Here is a 17,890-nt window from a genome sequence, read left to right as displayed (position 1 = left end):
TAAGGGCCCAGGCACAGAATGGGGAGACAAAGGTCGGTGGACAGAAGAGGAACAGTGTCTAGGAGGAAGATATCAGCATCAGCACTGAATCAGGGTGGGAGAGAGGCATTCCTCACCCACCCACTCATGCCACTGGACCCCCAGTTGCCTGTGGAATGTTGTCTTGCTATCTCCTAGTGCTGGTCAGCAAGGCCCATGGGAGGGAAGAAGGAACAGGAGGACACAGCTGTGGTCATCTCAGAGTGGCCCAAATAGTTCCTAAGAAGGCAGGGGTGAACCACAGAGGCAGGAGACAGGCAAGAGTTGATTTCTCACTCCTGATCTTGTTTTCATGTGTCATTTGCTATATTTTACTTGGTATTGTACAACACTGTGGCCTTTGACCAAGAGTAGACTAGGTCCAGAATCTCCCATTAGTATGTTTTGAATTCTAGGTTGTCTGAAACATGGGAGATGGATTGATTGTCACCAAGGCACAATGACTCAGTTTTTCTTCTCACACAGTCATGTATCAGTTCCAGAAAATGTTTACCCATATTCATCCTTAAAACAATGGCTCCACTCCATTTCCTCTCTCCTCACCTTCAAGGACAATATGAAATATATTAGGTCTTATTCTTTATCTCATATCTTCTCTTTTGTATTTTCTTTTTGTCTTTATGTACTACAATTGTGATAATTTCTTCTGACATCCTTTCTAGTTTACTAATTCTCTTCTCAGCTGTGTTTAATCTGTTAAACCTGTCCATTGATGTTCTTGGTCTTGGTTATTGTAGTTTTCATTTCTAGAGATCCTACTTGATTCTTTTGCAGATCTGATATTTCACTTTTTATAGATTCCCATTTCTGCAGTTATTTTTAAGCATGTCTTATTTCTTTAAACATCATAGGCACAATTACTTTATAGTCAATAATTTGAAGTCTGTGTATCAGTTCTTCCAATTTTTACTCACAGTGTCTTGTGTGTGTGTCTGATTATCTTTGACTATGTGCTGGTCATTGTTTTGATAAATCGTTTATAAGAAAGATTTAGGACAAAGGTGCCTTCCACTGGAGATCATTTTCATTTTCTCCTGCCAAACACCAAGGAATACTGACATTCCAGGGACACCTTAATCAACTATTAAGGTTTAGTGGTCCCTATCCCATCCAGGAGATGAGAACTTAGATTGGAAGTTCATATGAGGGCTGGTTTACTTCTGGTTTACTTCTGGTTCACCTTTATCCCGAGGGTGTAGCCCTTTGAAGTTCTGCATCAACATGGGATGGGTGTCCTATTATATGCCCCACCTTGTATGAGCCCCAAAGTCTGATTTCTGTCTCTTTCATTCCATGAAGCTATCAAAACAAGATTTGCATTTTTGGGGTGCAGAATGTGTCCCAGGGAAAAAGTGGCTTCTTCTCTTGCTCACCTGTCTGGATTCCTTTTCTCCTCAATTTTGGCCTGGTGGTCCCCTTCCTTCCTTTTAATACATTTTAATTTTTTTTAATCCAGCTGTTTACAGCAAGAGGATAAGCCCAAATAATCAAGTGTGCCTGTACTGGGAACTGGAAGTCCTCCTTTCATTCATTCATCAAGTGTTGGTGGAGTGCCTCCTATGTGCCAGGCACTATGCTGTGAACACAGCAGTGAAACAGACAGACAGACCAGGATCTTGGGGAGCTCCTAGTTTCTCTGGGGAGACAGACAGTAAACAGAGAGTGACACAATTTATTAGCTAATTGCAGTTGTGACACATATTGTGAAGTAAGGAAATTCAGGGGTGGTGAGAGTGTCTGCCCAGAGTCCTCACCTGCTTTGTAGACTCAGGGAAGTCACTCTTAGGGGTGTGTTTTCTTAAGCTGAGATCTGAAGATCTGAAGTGGTATTTATAAGTAGCTGGGGTTGGAGCAAAAGAATCCCAGCAGAGGGAACAGCATATACAAAACTCAGAATTGAGAAGGAGCATGACATTCTTAGGTCCTGAAAAATATCCAGTGTGGCCACAGTGCACAGAGCAGGGAGTGGGGCGTAAGGGAGGTGGAGGACAAGAGGCGAGGTCAGAGGGTCAGCTGGGTCAGACTACACAGGCTCTCACACGCAGGGGTTCAGATTTAGTCAATATCCCAAGAGCAACAGGAGCCATACAGAACATGGAGGACAGGTTTGCTTTCTGTTTGTTTGTTGTTGTTGTTGTTGTTGTTGAGACAGGGTCTTACTCTGTTGCCCAGGCTAGAGTGCAGTGGTGTGATCATAGCTCATTGCAGCCTTGACCTTCCATGCCCAGGCTATCCTCTTGCCTCAGCCTCCCAAGTAGCTGAGACTACAGGCATGTCCAACCATACCCAGCTAACTTTTTAATTTTTTGTAGAGACGGAGTCTTGCTGTGCTTCCCAAGCTGGTCTCAAACTCCTGGGCTCAAACGATCCACTCCCCTCAGCCTCCCACAGTGCTGGGATGACTGGCCTTAGCCACCGTACCAGGCCAGGTTTGCTTATTAAGATCACTCTGCTGGTGTGTGGAGCATGGGTTGTAACCAGCAAAAGGACCTCTGTCAGCCCAGTGAGGAAGCTCTGTGGCCAGAGGTGGATGGAGCCACAGAAAAGGAGGATTTGCACCAAGACTGAGCATAGACTTGTTCCCGGTTGCCTTACCCGCCTGTGCTGGTTTTCTGCCCCCATCCCCTCTACATCCTGCCCTGGGCCCTGGAGTCTGCTCTGTGTGGGCCGCACTCAGGGCCTCCCAGGCCGTCTGGCTTCCTGTTGGGTTTGGCCAATGGGCGGCACCAGCAGGAAATCAGACGGAGGAAGGAGAGAGAGGCTGCGGTGTTTCTTCTCTGCTCTCTTCTGCGTCCATGCCCCATCTGCACCCGCAAGACTACAACCCCTGTCAGGTGGCCTGTTCTCCGCCCTCCACGAGGATCCAGTAGCATCGATTCCTCCCCTCGCCCCTTCAGCCTGATAGGTGGTGATGATGGTTGCCATGGCCAGCTTCTGGGGCCTCAGCATCCCATCCTCATTCCCTTACCCCTGCTCACACCTCCATAAACTGGCCCCCTGGTTAAATAAAGGGATCTTTATTGGAATCATCAGGGTTGAGTTTGGTTTCAGCCAGGACCCTGAGGGATCCCTGCTACTCCAGTCCTTTTGCTTTAAAGAAGGCAGAGAAGGCCGGGTGCGGTGGCTTACCTCTGCAATCCCCACACTTTGGGAGGCTGAGGTGGGCGGATCACTTGAGGCGAGGAGTTCAAGACCAGCCTGGGCAACATGGTGAAATCCTGTCTCTACTAAAAATACAAAAATTAGCTGGGCGTGGTGGTGCATGCCTGTAGTCCCAGCTACTTGGGAGGCTGAGGTTGGAGGATTGTTTCAGCCCAGGAGGCAGAGGTTGCAGTGAGCCTGGGCAACAGAGCAAGATCCTGTCTTGAAAAGAAAAAAAAATTAGAAGGCAGAGAAGCAAATCTGTCTGGGGATCCTGGAGGCCAGTCCCCAGGGCCAGTCCCTCGTGGCAGCCAAAGGGGTGGTGTCTGCATTCTATAAACAAACACCCACAGGTGTGCATGGAAAGCCAGAGCCAAATGACAAACACAGCTGGGACAATGTTACAGAGCCCCAATAGCAGCAAGGACAGAGGAAATCGGGAAAATGAGGAACGTATGTGGTGGCCTCTGTGGCTGCACAATTCCTGCATGTGTCTACAGGAATTCCAGCCATGGGGCGGGGCAGGGGGAATCTGCATTCAAATGCCGCTTCCAAACACATCTTAAAAGAGGTGCCCCAGGCCGGGTGTGGTGGCTCATGCCTGTAATCCCAGCACTTTGGGAGGCCGAGGAGGGTGGATCACCTGAGTCCTGGAGTTCAAGACCAGCCTGAACAGCATGGCGAAACCCCCTCTGTACTAAAAATACAAAAATTAGCCGGGTGTGGTGGCAGGCACTTGGAATCCCAGCTTCTTGGGGGGCTAAGGCGGGAGAATCACTTGAACTCCGGAGGCAGGGGTTGCAGTGAGCCGAGATGGCTCTATTGCACTCCAGCCTGGGCGACAAGAGTGCAAAACAAAACAAAAAAAAGAGGTGCCGCAGTGATTGAGGTCAAAGTGCATCTGATTTCTGGAGTGGACTCACTGGTTTTGAAGCTGTGCATAGAGCCGTGACTTGGCCTCTCTGCCACAGGCTTCATTTCTTCTTGCCTTTCCTTTGTCTTTCCTCCCCTTCCACCCCACTTCTGCGCTGACACTGGCTTCACTTCACTTTCCCTTTGAAGACACGTGCTGGGCACACAAGCACCTACTCGGAGGATGACAGAAGCTTGGGAGCTGTGCCCTGAAATTCAGTGCTCACTCCCTGCCTGCCTGCATAGAGTCCAGGGCAATGAGGAACAGGAAACACAGCCTATTGGTAGAGGCTGCCTGGGTGAGGATGGGTGTCAGAAAAGAGTTCTTTGGGTAGGTTCTTTGAGTAGGTGGTGTGCAGTGGAAACCGAGGTGCCAGAAAAGACTGAGCCACTCAAAGGACTTCTCCAGATAGAGAAACAGACAGTGCGAAGTTCTGATGGAGGGTCGGTGTGGCCCGTGACTCGGAGGGCAGAAAATGAGGCTGACGCCTGGGACAGAAACCAGCATCCCGGGGGGCCTTGGATCTGGGGAAGGCATGCATCCCACTTTGCCTGGAATAATTCTGGCTTGCTCCCATTGTTCCAGCCTAATTGGTAGCATTCCCTTTGACCTGCAAAAAAAATGCCCCTGCTTGTTCAACAAATGACACAGTCACTCTACTTAGAGGGCAGAGCAAAAAGTATAGCTTTTATATATTTTAGCTGCAATAGGAAGGCATTTGAGTGTTTCGAGAAAGAGAGTGACAGCATCACGCCTTTTCCTCATTCACCAAGTATTCACTGAGTGCCGAGAGCTCTCCTAAGCCGCAGACACAGCAGTGAGCCACTTTTTGCAGGAGTTCTGCCATCGGGAGCTTACATTCCAGTGTCAGGAAGGCTGACATCTGACAAAATTAACCGGTTCTCCACAGCTCAGTGCCCTGGACGTGTCAAGGTACCCATTGGAAAGACAGAAAGATGAAGGCAAAGAGAATGTTCTGCTGGTTCTTTTTCTAGGTTTAATAATTGGAAAATCATGAGCTACTTCCCATGAAGTCTTCTCCCAAACTCACCCCCGAGGACAGGCCTTTGCAGGGAGCTACCTGACTCCCATTCTCACCCACGTATCCAGCTCCTGTAGTTGGTGAGCCCAGCTGTGTGCTGGTTGCCCTGACAGGCCCCTCACCCCACGCAGGTTCTAGCTCTCAGTAACCGGCTTATGCACACAGGATCCCAGCTCGAGTGGCCTGATCAGAAAAGGGCACACGACACTGACACATCTCACCAAAAATTCTGCCTCTAGATGGAGATTCAGGAACAGAGCCGGGCACAATGAGGAAAACAATCAGGATTCATCTTCAGGCGTGGCTGGATCCAGCAGCCCAAATTATGTCATCTAGAGTCCTTTCCCATTCCATCTCCTGCTTTTGCCATCCTTTGCGCTGGCTTCAGCCACTTGTTGGGGATTCCCAGTAACTAAGGCTTCCAAACAGACACCCAACAACTTGGACTAAAGCTTCCATTTCTTTCTTTCTTTTGAGACAGGGTCTCACTCTCTCGCCCTGGCTGGAGTGCATGATGCGATCTTGGCTCAACTGCAACCTCGACCTCCTGAGTTCAAGCGATTCTCGTGCCTCAGCCTCCCGAGTAGCTGTGATTACAAGTGTGTGCCACCATGCCGGGCTAATTTTTGTATTTTTAGTAAAGATAGGGTTTCGGCATGTTGGCCAGGCTGGTTTTGAACTCCTGGCCTCAAGTGATCCGCCCAACTTGGCCTCCCAAAGTGCTGAGATTACAGGCTTGAGCCACTGCGCCCGGCCGTAGAGCTTCCATTTCTAAATAATTCCATTAGAAATTCCAGAATTGGATGCTGTTGGACCATGGGCTCATCACTGAACCAGCCACTGTATCCAGGAGCATAGAAGACGCTGATTGGCCAGTCCTGAGTCACGTCCTTACCCCACACTTCCAACACACACACACACACACACACAGTTTGGGGGCTCAGCCCCACCCACACTGCAAGGAATGAGCGTGGGGGAGGGAGGTTCTCCAAGGAAAATCCATGTGTTGGTTGGAAGGAGAGAAATGGATGCTGAGACAGGCAAAACAGTGGGTGTCCACTGTGCCTGGCCTTGGTCCCAGGAAGAAGCAGAGCCCATGGTCAGTGGGGATGGCTCAGGGAGACCCCTTTACTGCAGCTTCAAGAGAAGGGTGGAGGGTTTCTGGAATCAGCCAGTGTGGTTTGGGCCCCAGATTTCTTCCCCATTTCTGCCGGCCTCAGGCTACCAGGGGTCTCCCTTCACAGGCAGCGTGGGCTCTTGGACCCCAAGCTGTTCATGGGGCCTGTGACTCCAGCCCAGGGAAGGCAGGGTTCAGGGGATATGCATGGCAGTGGACAGCAGCCCCCAGCGAGGCAGAGGGCATGGGAGGCTCCAGGCGGAGCCCTCCCTACGGGTCCCACCCAGTCCCTGCCTTGGGTGGTGGGACCTGTACCCTGAGGCCTCTGAAGCCACCAGGTCCTGTCCTGATGGGCATCTGGAGTCCCTGACCCTAGCCCCTCTGAGGTCTCTGGTCGCTGAGGTGGGGACTCAGCGTCCTCTTCCCTGGGAAGACTCACTTCCCACAAAGCTAGGTCCGCCGCCAACCCCCAGCCCCAACATTTAGAGCTTTTATTTTGAAAAATAAAAAAATATGTTGAACATTTCAAGATGACTTTTCCCCTGAGCCACCACTGCCCCGCTGTGGTCCCAGGGAAGATGCCGTTGATAGCGGAGATTAGGGGAGGACCCCTGCGCCTCTGGCTTTAGGAAGGGTCTCCAAAGAGCCTAGTTGCCCCTTTTGCCCTTCATTCATTCACCTGCACTCAAGGATGTTCTTGGAGGTGGGAGGGCACCCACTTGCCGAGCCCTGACGGCCTGCAAATGAGTTCTCAAATCCCTCCTTTCATGCTGGTGGCTGTTCTGGGAGGTGGTCCCGCCATCAGCCTATCCATCAGACGAGGGGTTGGGGAGGGTCCCCAAGGCATACTTTACCCAGATTCTCTGGCATGGCACAGCCAGTACGAGGCCCCACCATGAAGCCACGACCTTCCCAGCCTCACTCTTGCCTAAAAGAACGGGATGTGAGGTCAGGGAGGGAGAGGGCTGATGAGGGGTCCTGGAAGGGCAGGAGCCCCCATCTCAAGAAGAGAGATCAGTGCTGAGGCCCAGCAGCAGGCAGCCCCACCAGGGACCAGGAGGAGGGCTTCCTCCTGGCGTCTCCATGCCACAAGATGTAAAATAATCCCCTCGGCTCAGAAAAACACATTTTATGGCCATCTGACTCACTTCCCACAAAGCTAGGTCCACCGCCACCCCCCAGCCCCAACATTTAGAGCTTTTGTTTTGAAAAATAAAAAAATATGTTGAAAATTTCAAGATGACTTTTGAACATAAATTGTTCCTTTCCTCACCCTCGTCCCAGGCCCCCCTCACCTAATTTCCCAAACCTTGGCTGCCAGAGCCACGGGAGGACCCAGTCCAAGTGGGTGTGGGAGGACTCTGGAGTCACCGGGCAGCACAGCCCGCAGGGCCCAGCTGGCGGATGCCTGACGGCCGCTGAGACGGGTCAGGGGCCCTCCAGGGAAGTCCAGGCTTTGGTGAACCTGATCCTTTGGGTTCCGGGTCCCACATGGACCCCTCTAGTGCCCGGCAGTCTCTTCAGGTCACTTCCAGGGATGCAGATAAAGTCTGCCTGGTGGCTCTCCAAGCACTGGGACAAGGGCGGCTGCAAGCGTGGCCTTATTCACTGAGCCCCAGACCTTGCTAGCCACTGGCCTCCCCAGCAAAGAGCAGGCCTGACCCCCATCATCCCGAGACCCCACAAGTGATGCGTGGCGGTCCTTTGATCCCCCAAATCCAGCAGGGCTTTCGATGCCCCCGCACACACCGAGACATGGCCTCCCAACTCCCTCTGACTCTTCCATTCCTTGAATTTCCCCAACAGCCCTGACAATGGCTGTCCGCATCCCCATTTCTCAGGCCCCAGGCAAGCCCAGACAGCACGTGACCCCTGTCAGCTGACAGAAGGCCGAGCTCAGATGAGCCGTCTGCCCGGGCTCCTGCTGCCTCCCCAGTAGCCCAGGGCTCAGATGGAGGGCCAGGGTGGAACGCACAGCCAGGGGGTCTCTCGTTCCTGGCACACGGTGTGGCCGCAGGGGAAGGACCCAGCGCCCACAGAGCTGGCCTCCACGCCCCACCTGCAACTGGCACCACTTGGCACCTTCAAGGCTCTCCCCACGGCACTCAGGTGGCCCGCCCCGTCATCTCTCCGCCTTCCCCCACAACAGCCTCTGGCACCTTCCAAAAGGTCTCCCGGGGAGGAGGCAGCCACCTGCAGCCAGGGTGGGGCACCCACCAGCACCAGCCTCCCTCCAGCCAGAGCCCCGACTGGGCAAGGCTCTGCCACACCTGGGCCAGGTGCCTTGGCCTGCAGGCTCAGACTCCTAGGATCCAGAATGAAACAGGTTCCATCCCTGGTTGCCATGAGCCCAACTGGGTCTGAGATCTAAGCAGGGCCTGGCACCCAGCCCCTCCACTGCCCATCCACTAGGAACTCATTCCAAGCTACCGGCTCCTTGGGGGATCTGTGAGCTGCTGAATGCTGGGAGACTGGGCTCCTGATACCGACCTCGTGCTAAGAGCTGCCCAAGCTGGGGACACAGGAGCAGAGTGTCAATCCACAGGAGGCCTCTATCCTCAAGGGGCCACCATCCCCGACAGGAAGCGCAGGCAGACCCCAGGCCTGTAGGAGCTGCCCCTGGTGACCTGGTGATCAGTGACCCTGGATCCTGGTTCTTGGGGGTCTGGACTCCCACTTCAGCACAGGAAACAGTGGTGAGAAGCAGCCCGGGGTGAGTGGGGTGACTTACAATCAAGGGCCCTGCAGGTTTGCCGGGATGGGCATGCCCCCTGCCAGGGCGGGAGTGTGGACTGGGGTCCCCCAAGCTGGCTAGGCCATGGGCATCAGGGGAAGGGCCAGAGGTAACCCGGACTTCCTTAACCACAAGAAAATGACTCAGCTAAATTGAGGAAGACTTCCGTTTCGGCAGAATATTTTTTCCACTATGGTAAGAGCTTTTCGCCCACAGGCTCCAGAGGAGCTGGGTACCCCAGAGGAGGGTTTGGAGTTTCAGTTTGAGTAGTCAAGGCTGGTTCTTAATCATCCTTTTCAAGAGACAGCTCTTGGTTTTCCAGCAGGTGGCTGGGTAATGGGAAGCCAAGCCAGGTGTGTGTGTGTGTATGTGTGTGTGTGTATGTGTATGTATGTGTGTATGTGTGTGTGTGTGTGTGTGTGTGTGTATGTGTATGTGTGTGTGTGTATGTGTATGTGTGTGTGTGTATGTGTGTGTGTATGTGTGTTGGGGGGGGCGTGCAAGTGCACATTTGTGCCTTGTGGACTCTGGGGGCCAGGAAGGCAGAGATTTAGTCCCAAGCCTTCCCCTTGTCCAGCAGTAGGCCTTGCCCTGGTCTGCAGAGATGACCTGGATCCTCCAGTCCTCACAACCCTGCCAGCCTGAGCAGGGCTGATGGCTGCATTCATTGAGGGTTCAGTGTGCGCCAAGCAGCAGGCCAGGCACTTGCCCACATTGTCTCATTTGAGTGCTCACAACCCCTGGAGGTGGCCTCCTCCCAGATATCAGTGGAAGTGCCCAGAGAGGAAGGCAGCAGGTGGACACAGCCACAGTGAACCGCACACCGAGGCAGCCGACACCGCTGGAGCCCTCTTTGTGGCTGCCCCACCTGCCCGTTCTCCAGCTTCCGGAGACGTTGCCCCAGGTTGTCTGCTGTAGCAACAGCGGCAGCACTGGGCTCAGTAAGGCCTGAGGACTTTTTCCCAGGGGCCTTGCTCAAACATCAGCCCAGGGGTTATCAGAAGCTGTGCCTTGCCCTGGACTCTGGGGTGGAAAGTCAGGCATTTTCAATGCAGCCCTGAGCCCCAGGCAGGCTGGGTGCAGGTGGGGTCTTCCAGAAGTGGGAAGCTGGAAGCCCCCCACTTCCAGCCTAATCAGTGTGGCGAGGGGAAGCCCCGGTCCCGGTGTGTGGTGGGGAGGAAGGCCGGCTGCTTCAGGCTCCTGCCTCTTCTGGTCCAGCCCAGGTGGGCTTCCTGGAGGAGGGCACTGGCAGACTCTGACCTGGACAGCAGCAGTGAATGCTCTGAGAGCATGGGAAGTGCCGGACGTGATGCCCCACACCTGTAATCCCAGCACTTTGGGAGGTCAAGGCAGGTGGATCACCAGGAATTCGAGAATCAACAGGAATTCGAGACCAGCCTGGCCAACATGGGGAACCCCCATCTCTACTAAAAATACAAAAAATTAGCTGGGTGTGGTGGCACACGCCTGTAATCCTAGCTACTTGGGAGGCTGAGGCTGGAGAATTGCTTGAACCCAGGAGGTGGAAGTTGCAGCGAGCCGAGGTCGTGCCACTGCACTCCAGCCTGGGTGACAAAGTGAGACTCTGTCTCAAAAAAAAAAAAGAGAGTGTGGGAAGTGCTGGCCCCCAGAAAGTGACTGCCTAGGCAAGGAGGGGCTGCTCCCCACCCCCAGAGACGCCCCGTGCCTGCTCCCACCCAGCATGCTCCAGAGCTGGGAAACTGCTCCTGCTTCTCAGTCCCCTGCCAGGGCAGGTTATTCCCTGGGGCCTCACACTGTGAGGGGAATGACAGGGTACAGGGTCGTCCTTCCCCCGACATGGCCGGCTGGACCTCAGCTCTGCTAGAGGCCCTTCCACATCCTGCCTCCTGCCCTGGGCTGGGGGTCAGTTTTCCCAACCTGGAGGTGAGTGGGAGTCCGAAGCTGCCCCAGGGAGTGGGTGGGGGGGGCTTGCCCTGGTCTCCAGGGATTTCAGAGGACAGAGTTGACCTGGCTGGTGTGGCTCTGTGGCCAGGGCAAGGGTTCTGCCTGGGGCCAGGACATGTGTCCTGGCTGTGTGGCCTCCCCAGGGCCCAACTCTCTGGCCAGACTCCTGTGGGGAGGAGCAGGGGCTGCAGGGGGTGGGGGAGGTGAGGCCATCAGTTCCCCCAACCCCGAGGTGCCGCAGCTCCAGGGCAAAGGGCAAGTCGGCTCTGGCCAGAGTAAGGAAGCAGGGCAGGGGACAGACAGCAGAAAGAGGAAGGCCTGGCCCAGCAGCCAAGGGGCTTAAGCCCTGAGGCCTGAACCTTGCCCCTCTCCTGGGATGCCCCCCTAGAGAGACAGAAACTGGGACCAACAGAGACAGGAGGAAGCAGAGAAAGAGTCAGAGTCATCCCAGCACTTTAGAAGGCTGAGGCAGGAGGATCCCTTGAGGCCAGGGGTTGGAGGTCAGCCTGGGCAACATAGCAAGACCCCATCTCTACAAAAAAAAGAAAAAAAGAAAGAAAAAAAGAAAAGAAAAGAAAAAGGAATGTGATGTGGCCTGAAAGTCCAAAAGCAAGGCACGGAGAGGAAGAGGAGCAGGAGGGGAAGACAGAGCTTTGGGGGAAGGGCTTTTAGCCAGCAGCAGGGAGCCAGGGTTATCTCCAGACACCTGATCCAGCTATTCCTGCTGCTGGCTGAGAGCCCTTCCCCAGGCTAGAGCCCAAGGGGCCTGGCAAGAGCCAAGCTGTGGGGTGGGGCCTTCCCAGGAGGGCCAAGGGGTTCCTCTGTCGCCATTGTTCCCTGTCCACAGAAAGCTTCTCCTTTTCCATCCGCAGAGCTCACACAAGATAGCTGTGCCTGCGTGTGCCCATATGCATCTGTGTGCGTGTCTGCGTGTGCATGTGGTATGTGCAATATGCCTGAAGCCATCTGCATCTAGGACCCTGGACTACCCAGTGTCATAAAGGCAGCCTGGGCTCCAGAACAAAGCCTCTCCCCCAGTATAGCCCCATGAGGCCAGCACTCCTTGGAGAACTGGGGAGGCCCAAATGAGGCGGATTCTCTGCTCCTGCAGAAGGCCCTGGTGATCCTTCTATCCCACAGTGGAGCAGAAGAGGCAGTCCCTTCTCCTCGGGTTGCCCCCACCCAGGTGGCCCTTGAGCTCCCAGGAACCACACAGTCCCAGGGTGGAGGAGGGCCCGACTGACCAGAGACCCCTCCCCGACTCACTGAGCTTCAGGCCTCTGCAGTGGGGAGGGACTGAAAGTGCTCCCCGAGTGGGCCACAGCATGTTTCTTGCATGCAAAGCTCAGCGTGCATGTGAACACACGCACACGTGCAAACAGGAGCATTCACCTCTGTCCCTGGCCAATCAGCTTCAGCCTGCCCACCTCAGCCGCCATTCGCCCATCATCCACAATGGCCGGCTGAGGGTTCTGGACGTGGGGATGATGGGCAAATGGCGGGTGAAGTGACAGGGAGAGAGCTTGGGTCGGCACCCTGGGCCCACATTCTCCCACCCCCTGCCACCCTTGCTCACTGCGGCCAGCCGGGTTCCCTCCCCAGCCCTGTTTGTCACGCACATTTTCTCCACAGATGTTTCGCGGTGCGTGTGTAACGGTGACAACTGTGCATTTGTAGCCTCTGTGCCTGCATGGTGTGAGTCCAGTGTGTGAATGTGTGAATCAGGGAAGAGACCCAACTCTCACTGGTTTGAGCAGAAAAGGAATCCACTGGTTCTTGCCATGGAAAAGTCCACAAGGTGCCGGTTCGGGCACAGCTGGGGCTCCGTCGTCAAAACCCGTGTCGGGTCCTCAGCTCTCCTTTCCTTTGTGCCCAGCAAGATAACCATGGGGCTCACATTCTCCTGCTTTGCTAGGGAAGAAAAAATGATTTTTTTTTCTCAGTATTTCCAGCAAAAGTCTCAGGGCAGACACCCATTGGCCAGGCCCAGGTCATATGACCCACTTCCAGAGCCCCAGGCAGGGGCTGCCCTGCCTGAAGCCCCTGGTCTGAGAGCTTGAGGGCTGGTCCTCCAAGGGAACACAAGGGGCTGCCCCAGAAGAAGGAAGTGAGTGTGGGCAGCCAGGAACTTGGAGGTCCACCCCAGTGACTCTTCGGGAAGGGGTCCTCTGGGGCGGGGTGGGGACATATGTTTTTCCTATCCTCAGTCTCACTCCAAACCAGACTGGCATCTAGAATTCTGGGATTAGAAAGCCCTGGGATTCCTGCTCTATTTTTTATTGTGCAGATGGGGAAACTGAGGCCCAGAGAGACAGGGCATGGTCTAGGGGTCACACAGCCAGTGAGACCAGAGCTGGAGCTAGAACACAGGTCTTCTGACAGCCGGTCCTGACTGTCTACACAGCATGCTCCACGCGGCCAGTCTCAACAAGCCCCAGCAGTGTGGACGCAAGGGGCTGAGGTCAGGGCTTGAGACACCCCAGTGGGCAAGCCCCAGTCCAAGAAGAAAAGCCCACCTCAAAGGCTCCAAAGAGAATGGGCTGGGGCCAGGGGCAGGAATCAGCGGTAGGCTGATCCAGGGTGGGGGTGAGAAAGGCCAGCGCCTCTAGACCGCCTGCCACTGCTCCACCTCAGCAGCAAAGGTGGGTGAGGGAGGCCAGGACCAGGAGGGCAGGAGAGGTCAGGGGGTGGAGAGGCCATGAGGGGCCCGGCAGGCTCCAGCAGGCCTGTTTACTCAGAGGCCCACGAGGTCAAGGCCCAGGCCCCAAGTTAATCATTAATGGCGGCCCGGCCAGCCCTGCTCGTGGCCGCTCAGCGTGGTGGGGGCCAGCACCCAAAGCCCAGGCACTGCCCCCTGCTGCCACCCTGATCAGGGGGACCCAGGCATGCTTCGGAGGACACCGCGTTCTCTGCAGTCCCAGGGACTCTGACATCGTCTTTCCCCACTCAGGGCAGGCCTATGCCAGGATCCCGGGGTCCCCAAGGCAAGAAAGGGGGTCTAAAGCTCTCCAAGCCAGCTCCATGTTTGCCTCCCACAGCCCGGTTTCTGGGTGTCACACCCAGCAGGGAGGGGACAGGGCAGAAGCAGCAGTGGGGACAGGGACCTTGTGCAGGAGAAGAGTCCCAGTGGGTGCAAGGGGTCAGGGGTGCCCACATCACTGGCAGGGGACAGGTTTGGTGGCAGCACGCAGGGCTGGGGTGGTGTCTACAGTGGGACAGGCACCTAGGCCTGAGTCCAGGGGTCTGGGCTAGAGGTTCTCGGGGGCCCCCTTGGGGTTCCTGCTTGGGCTGACCCAGCTCAAGGATAGCTGAGCTCCATGCCACCCAGCTGTGTCTCCATCATCCCTAGAACCAGCTGAGACCAGCGGCTCCCAACGCCCCAGGGACAGTGTCTTTCCTCTACGATAAGCGGGCACTGACAGAGGAGCAGCACCCGCATTAGCAGCTTTTAGGATGCAAATCCCTGTTTTGTCCTGGGGATTAGGCCTGAACCTCCAGCTGGAGAAGGCAGCCCCTGTGGGGCAGGGGGACAAGGACATGGTGGCTGTGCTGGCTGCCCACCCCACTCAGCCTCCCTGCCTGACCCAAGACCCAGGGCCACCCCGGGAGGAATCCAGGTGGTGGGGACAGGGAAGGTCCGGCATTTGCACAGTAAGTGGCTGCTGTCCTTGGGCCCTGGGCTCACTCAGCGTCTCTCAGGGACAGTGGCGCCTCTGGGGGACCTTGGTACAGCCCAGATGTGGACGCGGCAGATGGGTGCCGACTAAGATGCTGCATCTCTCAGGCGTACCCAGTGAGGCCAGCCCTCCCAGCCCCTGAGAGAAGCAGCGCTTCTAGAAGGCTCCTCCCAACATGGCAGAGAGCTCTTGGAGCTTGAATAGACTCTTAGCCTCAAAGAGCTTCATTTTTATTTGTTAAGGCTTTGGGGGATGGGGCGGTGCAGGGGTAAAGCTGCCCACTGTGGAAGGGAACCTGGGACAGCTAGTGCCTGGGGACATTGGGGGCCCCCATTTCTCTTGGGGTACCTCTTGTGGGGGTGCTGTCCCTGCCTCCACAGCAGTCAGAGGAGTGTCCAGCTCCAGAGCCCCCACCCCGGGCAGCCCAGATCAGGAAGCATTTAGAAAAAGCCTGAGGGCACATCCTATGGGCCACCCTAGGGGCAAAGCTTTCTGGGACCCCCACTGTAAACCCAGGCAAGGAAGGCACAAGGTCTCTCGGCCTTGGGCACCCTAGAGCACTGCACTGTGTGGACCCTCAGCGTCCACTTTAGCACGAGATTGTTCCCTTTTCAAGGCACCACTTCTGCCTGACCAGGAAATCCTGAACCAAGGCTGCCTATCCCTCCCTGAGTCAACACTTGCCGAGGAGGGAGGTGGAGCAGGAAAACAGGCTCCAGGAGTGCAGGCCAGAGAGGGCTGTGTCCACACACACACACGTGCACACACACAGTCACACACACTACAGTCACATGCGTACCCACAGACACACTCATAACCACATGCACACACGCTCACAGACATGCACACACATGTGCACAGACACATAGGTACACCTGCACCAACTGTGTGCACTCATACACATGCTTGTAGTCACACGGGTACACACACACATGCACACACAGACAGACACAGACTCACACAGACCTTCCTGCTCCCAAGAGACATCATGAAGCCCAGGCCTGTGTGAGTCACACCCCACACCCACACAGACACACGCACGCACACACACACACACACACACACAGACTCAGCCACTGCACACTCTGCTATGCTTTCCCAGTGGTCTTCACGTTATTCAGTGGCCTCCCTGGCAGACACCAGCCACACAGCGCCCAGGAAATCTGACACGCCCAGGAAATCCGAGCCTGGGACTGAGCCCTTGAACCTCACACCATCTTCTGTCTTTGGGGCCACCCGGGAAACAGGAACCTGGAGGAGGAGAGGCAGCCTCAGGCTCCCTCAGAGCCTGGCTGGGCTGGGGCTGGAGCCGGAAGGTGCCCGTGGCCCTGCTGCAGGAGAGGACACCCACCTTGAGGTTGGCCCCGGACCAGAGACAGACACTCGTTTCCCCATGGCCCCTGGGGCAGGGCTGTGTCTGGCTCCCAGTGGTCTCACCATACAAAGGGGGGGGATGAATGAACAAGGACCTGGCAAGGGAGTCCTCTGTCCCCCGGGCTGGCCTTGGGGCCCTGTAGGTCCCTGCCACCCTGCGACCCGCCTCGTCATCCCTGATCACCTCCACCACGTGTGAGCCAGGCCCAGGGGAGCCAGCCTGCCTATGGCTGTGTCTCTGGGGCAGCGGGGGCGGCAGCACAGGGACGTGCCCACACACGGCTCCCCCGCGGCTGCACGCTAAGCCAACGCCAGAGCCAGGCCAAGAGCAGCAGTCCTGGGGCCTGCCCACCGCCCACGTCCGGCCCAGCCTTCCATGCTGCTCCAGCGGGAGACTTGGCCCCCGACTCTTATCCACACGGCAGCCTCCCAGGAGCACCGGCCTCCCGCCCTGCAGGTCCTGCCCTCCACCTCTCAACAGCAGCCAGGGATCCTTGCAAAAGTCAATCAGATCGTGTTCCTGGCCCAGCCCCCAAAGCCTTTCCAGCCTCTTCTGCTTGCAGCCACCCCATGAATTCTGTGAGGCCCTCCTGGCCACCCACCTGCCACAGACCTCCGTACTCTGCACCTCCCTTGGCTGTGGCGGTTCCTTTCTGTCCCTCAAACAGCTGCCTCCTGCCCCCAGGACATCACATGGCAGCTCCTGCTGAGTCTTCCTTGGCTGGTCTTTTTCCTCATCGGGGAGGCCTTCCTGAAGCCACCCCTGGTCACTGCCCAGATGCATAGTATTGCGGGCACCTCTCGTGCTCTGAAATGGCACTGTACCTGTCAGTCATCCCTGCTGGATTGTCAGTTCCACAAGGGCAAGGACCGTGTCTGTCTCATTCGCATCCTGGAAGGGGTTTATCTGGCAGGTTGTTGGCACCAAGGACCAGTGTTTGTAGAGTGAATGAATGACCGAGAGAGGGCAATGCTGAAGAACCCAAATGCAGGTCGGAAATAGGAATGGCCACATGTCCGGCCTGCCCATCATCCATGCCCTGCCCAGATTTTTTGGAAAAAATAATCTGAAGAATAATAGTGTTTTGTGACACATGAAAATCATATGAAATTCATGTTTCGGCAATCTAGGAGGGGGATGTGGGGGCCTCCTGGCGTCCTCCTGACCCATACCACATAGGCAGGTCCAGTTGCATGGGTCAGTGCTAGGATAGGGATGTAGGGCCACAGCCTTTGCTCCTGGTGGGCTTAGCTCTGCCCTGGCTTTTGGCCCTACAAGGCGAGAAGCCCCTTGCGTTTAGTGTCCTGGATTTACAGGGACCCCGCACTCCGCCAGCTCCCGCTTCCGCACCTTTGTCTAGGACATTCCACTGCCTGGAATGTCTCCTCTGTCTGCCTGGCCATTCCCTCCCCTTCTCCAGGTGCAGCCAGACACCCCTCCCAGTCCCAAAGCCCCCTTCCCCATCACACACAGCCCTGAGGCTGTACACATCTCCTCTGCTAGCCTGTACCAGGCTGTAGGCCAGGCCACACCACATCAGTAGTGAGTGGTCGTCGGCAGCTTTCAGGCGCTCAATGGGCTTCTCTTGAGGTTCCCACCACCTTGGGCAGGTTGAGGGGGTGAAAAGATACCTGGCCAGGGGTCAAAGAGATAGGTCAGACAACAAGGGGTCAGTCGGGTCTAAAGAAGCCCACAGGACTGGGCACAGTGTCTCATGCCTGTAATCCCACCTTTCTGGGAGGCCGAGGCAGGAGGATCACATGAGCTCAGGGTGTAGTAAGCCATGATCGTGCCACTGCACTCCAGCCTCAGCAACACAGTTAGACCCCGTCTTCAAAAACAAACAAACAAACAAACAAAAAAAAAAACAGAAAAACAGAGAGGAGGCGGGGGTAACTCTGAATCCAGGAGATAAGGGCTTAGTTA

General features: G+C 55.7%; 7 annotated features.

The window, feature by feature from the left end:
- Positions 2,341-3,328: an enhancer, noted in NCBI's record as "H3K4me1 hESC enhancer chr19:33777434-33778421 (GRCh37/hg19 assembly coordinates)". NCBI's record gives its function as "activates a minimal SCP1, AML or CMV promoter by ChIP-STARR-seq in naive H9 embryonic stem cells {active_cell/tissue: H9 hESC(naive)}" and the evidence as "EXISTENCE:reporter gene assay evidence [ECO:0000049][PMID:30033119]".
- Positions 10,758-11,315: an enhancer, noted in NCBI's record as "H3K4me1 hESC enhancer chr19:33769447-33770004 (GRCh37/hg19 assembly coordinates)". NCBI's record gives its function as "activates a minimal SCP1, AML or CMV promoter by ChIP-STARR-seq in naive and primed H9 embryonic stem cells {active_cell/tissue: H9 hESC(naive and primed)}" and the evidence as "EXISTENCE:reporter gene assay evidence [ECO:0000049][PMID:30033119]".
- Positions 13,615-13,759: an enhancer, noted in NCBI's record as "145 bp enhancer 13 fragment used in the MPRA reporter construct; PK_construct_115". NCBI's record gives its function as "activates an SV40 promoter by MPRA in HepG2 and K562 cells {active_cell/tissue: HepG2 | K562}" and the evidence as "EXISTENCE:reporter gene assay evidence [ECO:0000049][PMID:23512712]".
- Positions 13,680-13,693: a transcriptional cis regulatory region, noted in NCBI's record as "HNF1 motif; enhancer activity is reduced when this motif is scrambled". NCBI's record gives its function as "necessary for full MPRA enhancer 13 activity {active_cell/tissue: HepG2 | K562}" and the evidence as "EXISTENCE:site-directed mutagenesis evidence [ECO:0005528][PMID:23512712]".
- Positions 15,046-15,613: an enhancer, noted in NCBI's record as "H3K27ac-H3K4me1 hESC enhancer chr19:33765149-33765716 (GRCh37/hg19 assembly coordinates)". NCBI's record gives its function as "activates a minimal SCP1, AML or CMV promoter by ChIP-STARR-seq in naive H9 embryonic stem cells {active_cell/tissue: H9 hESC(naive)}" and the evidence as "EXISTENCE:reporter gene assay evidence [ECO:0000049][PMID:30033119]".
- Positions 15,637-16,197: an enhancer, noted in NCBI's record as "H3K4me1 hESC enhancer chr19:33764565-33765125 (GRCh37/hg19 assembly coordinates)". NCBI's record gives its function as "activates a minimal SCP1, AML or CMV promoter by ChIP-STARR-seq in primed H9 embryonic stem cells {active_cell/tissue: H9 hESC(primed)}" and the evidence as "EXISTENCE:reporter gene assay evidence [ECO:0000049][PMID:30033119]".
- Positions 15,676-15,868: a silencer, noted in NCBI's record as "fragment chr19:33764894-33765086 (GRCh37/hg19 assembly coordinates)". NCBI's record gives its function as "represses an EF-1alpha promoter that drives an FKBP-Casp9 reporter gene in an ReSE screen in phorbol 12-myristate 13-acetate-treated (for megakaryocytic differentiation) K562 erythroleukemia cells {active_cell/tissue: K562(+PMA)}" and the evidence as "EXISTENCE:reporter gene assay evidence [ECO:0000049][PMID:32094911]".

This window comes from Homo sapiens, chromosome 19 (assembly GCF_000001405.40).
Source record: "Homo sapiens chromosome 19, GRCh38.p14 Primary Assembly".
NCBI lineage: Eukaryota > Metazoa > Chordata > Mammalia > Primates > Hominidae > Homo > Homo sapiens.
This window is presented reverse-complemented; position numbering and strand designations above follow the sequence as displayed.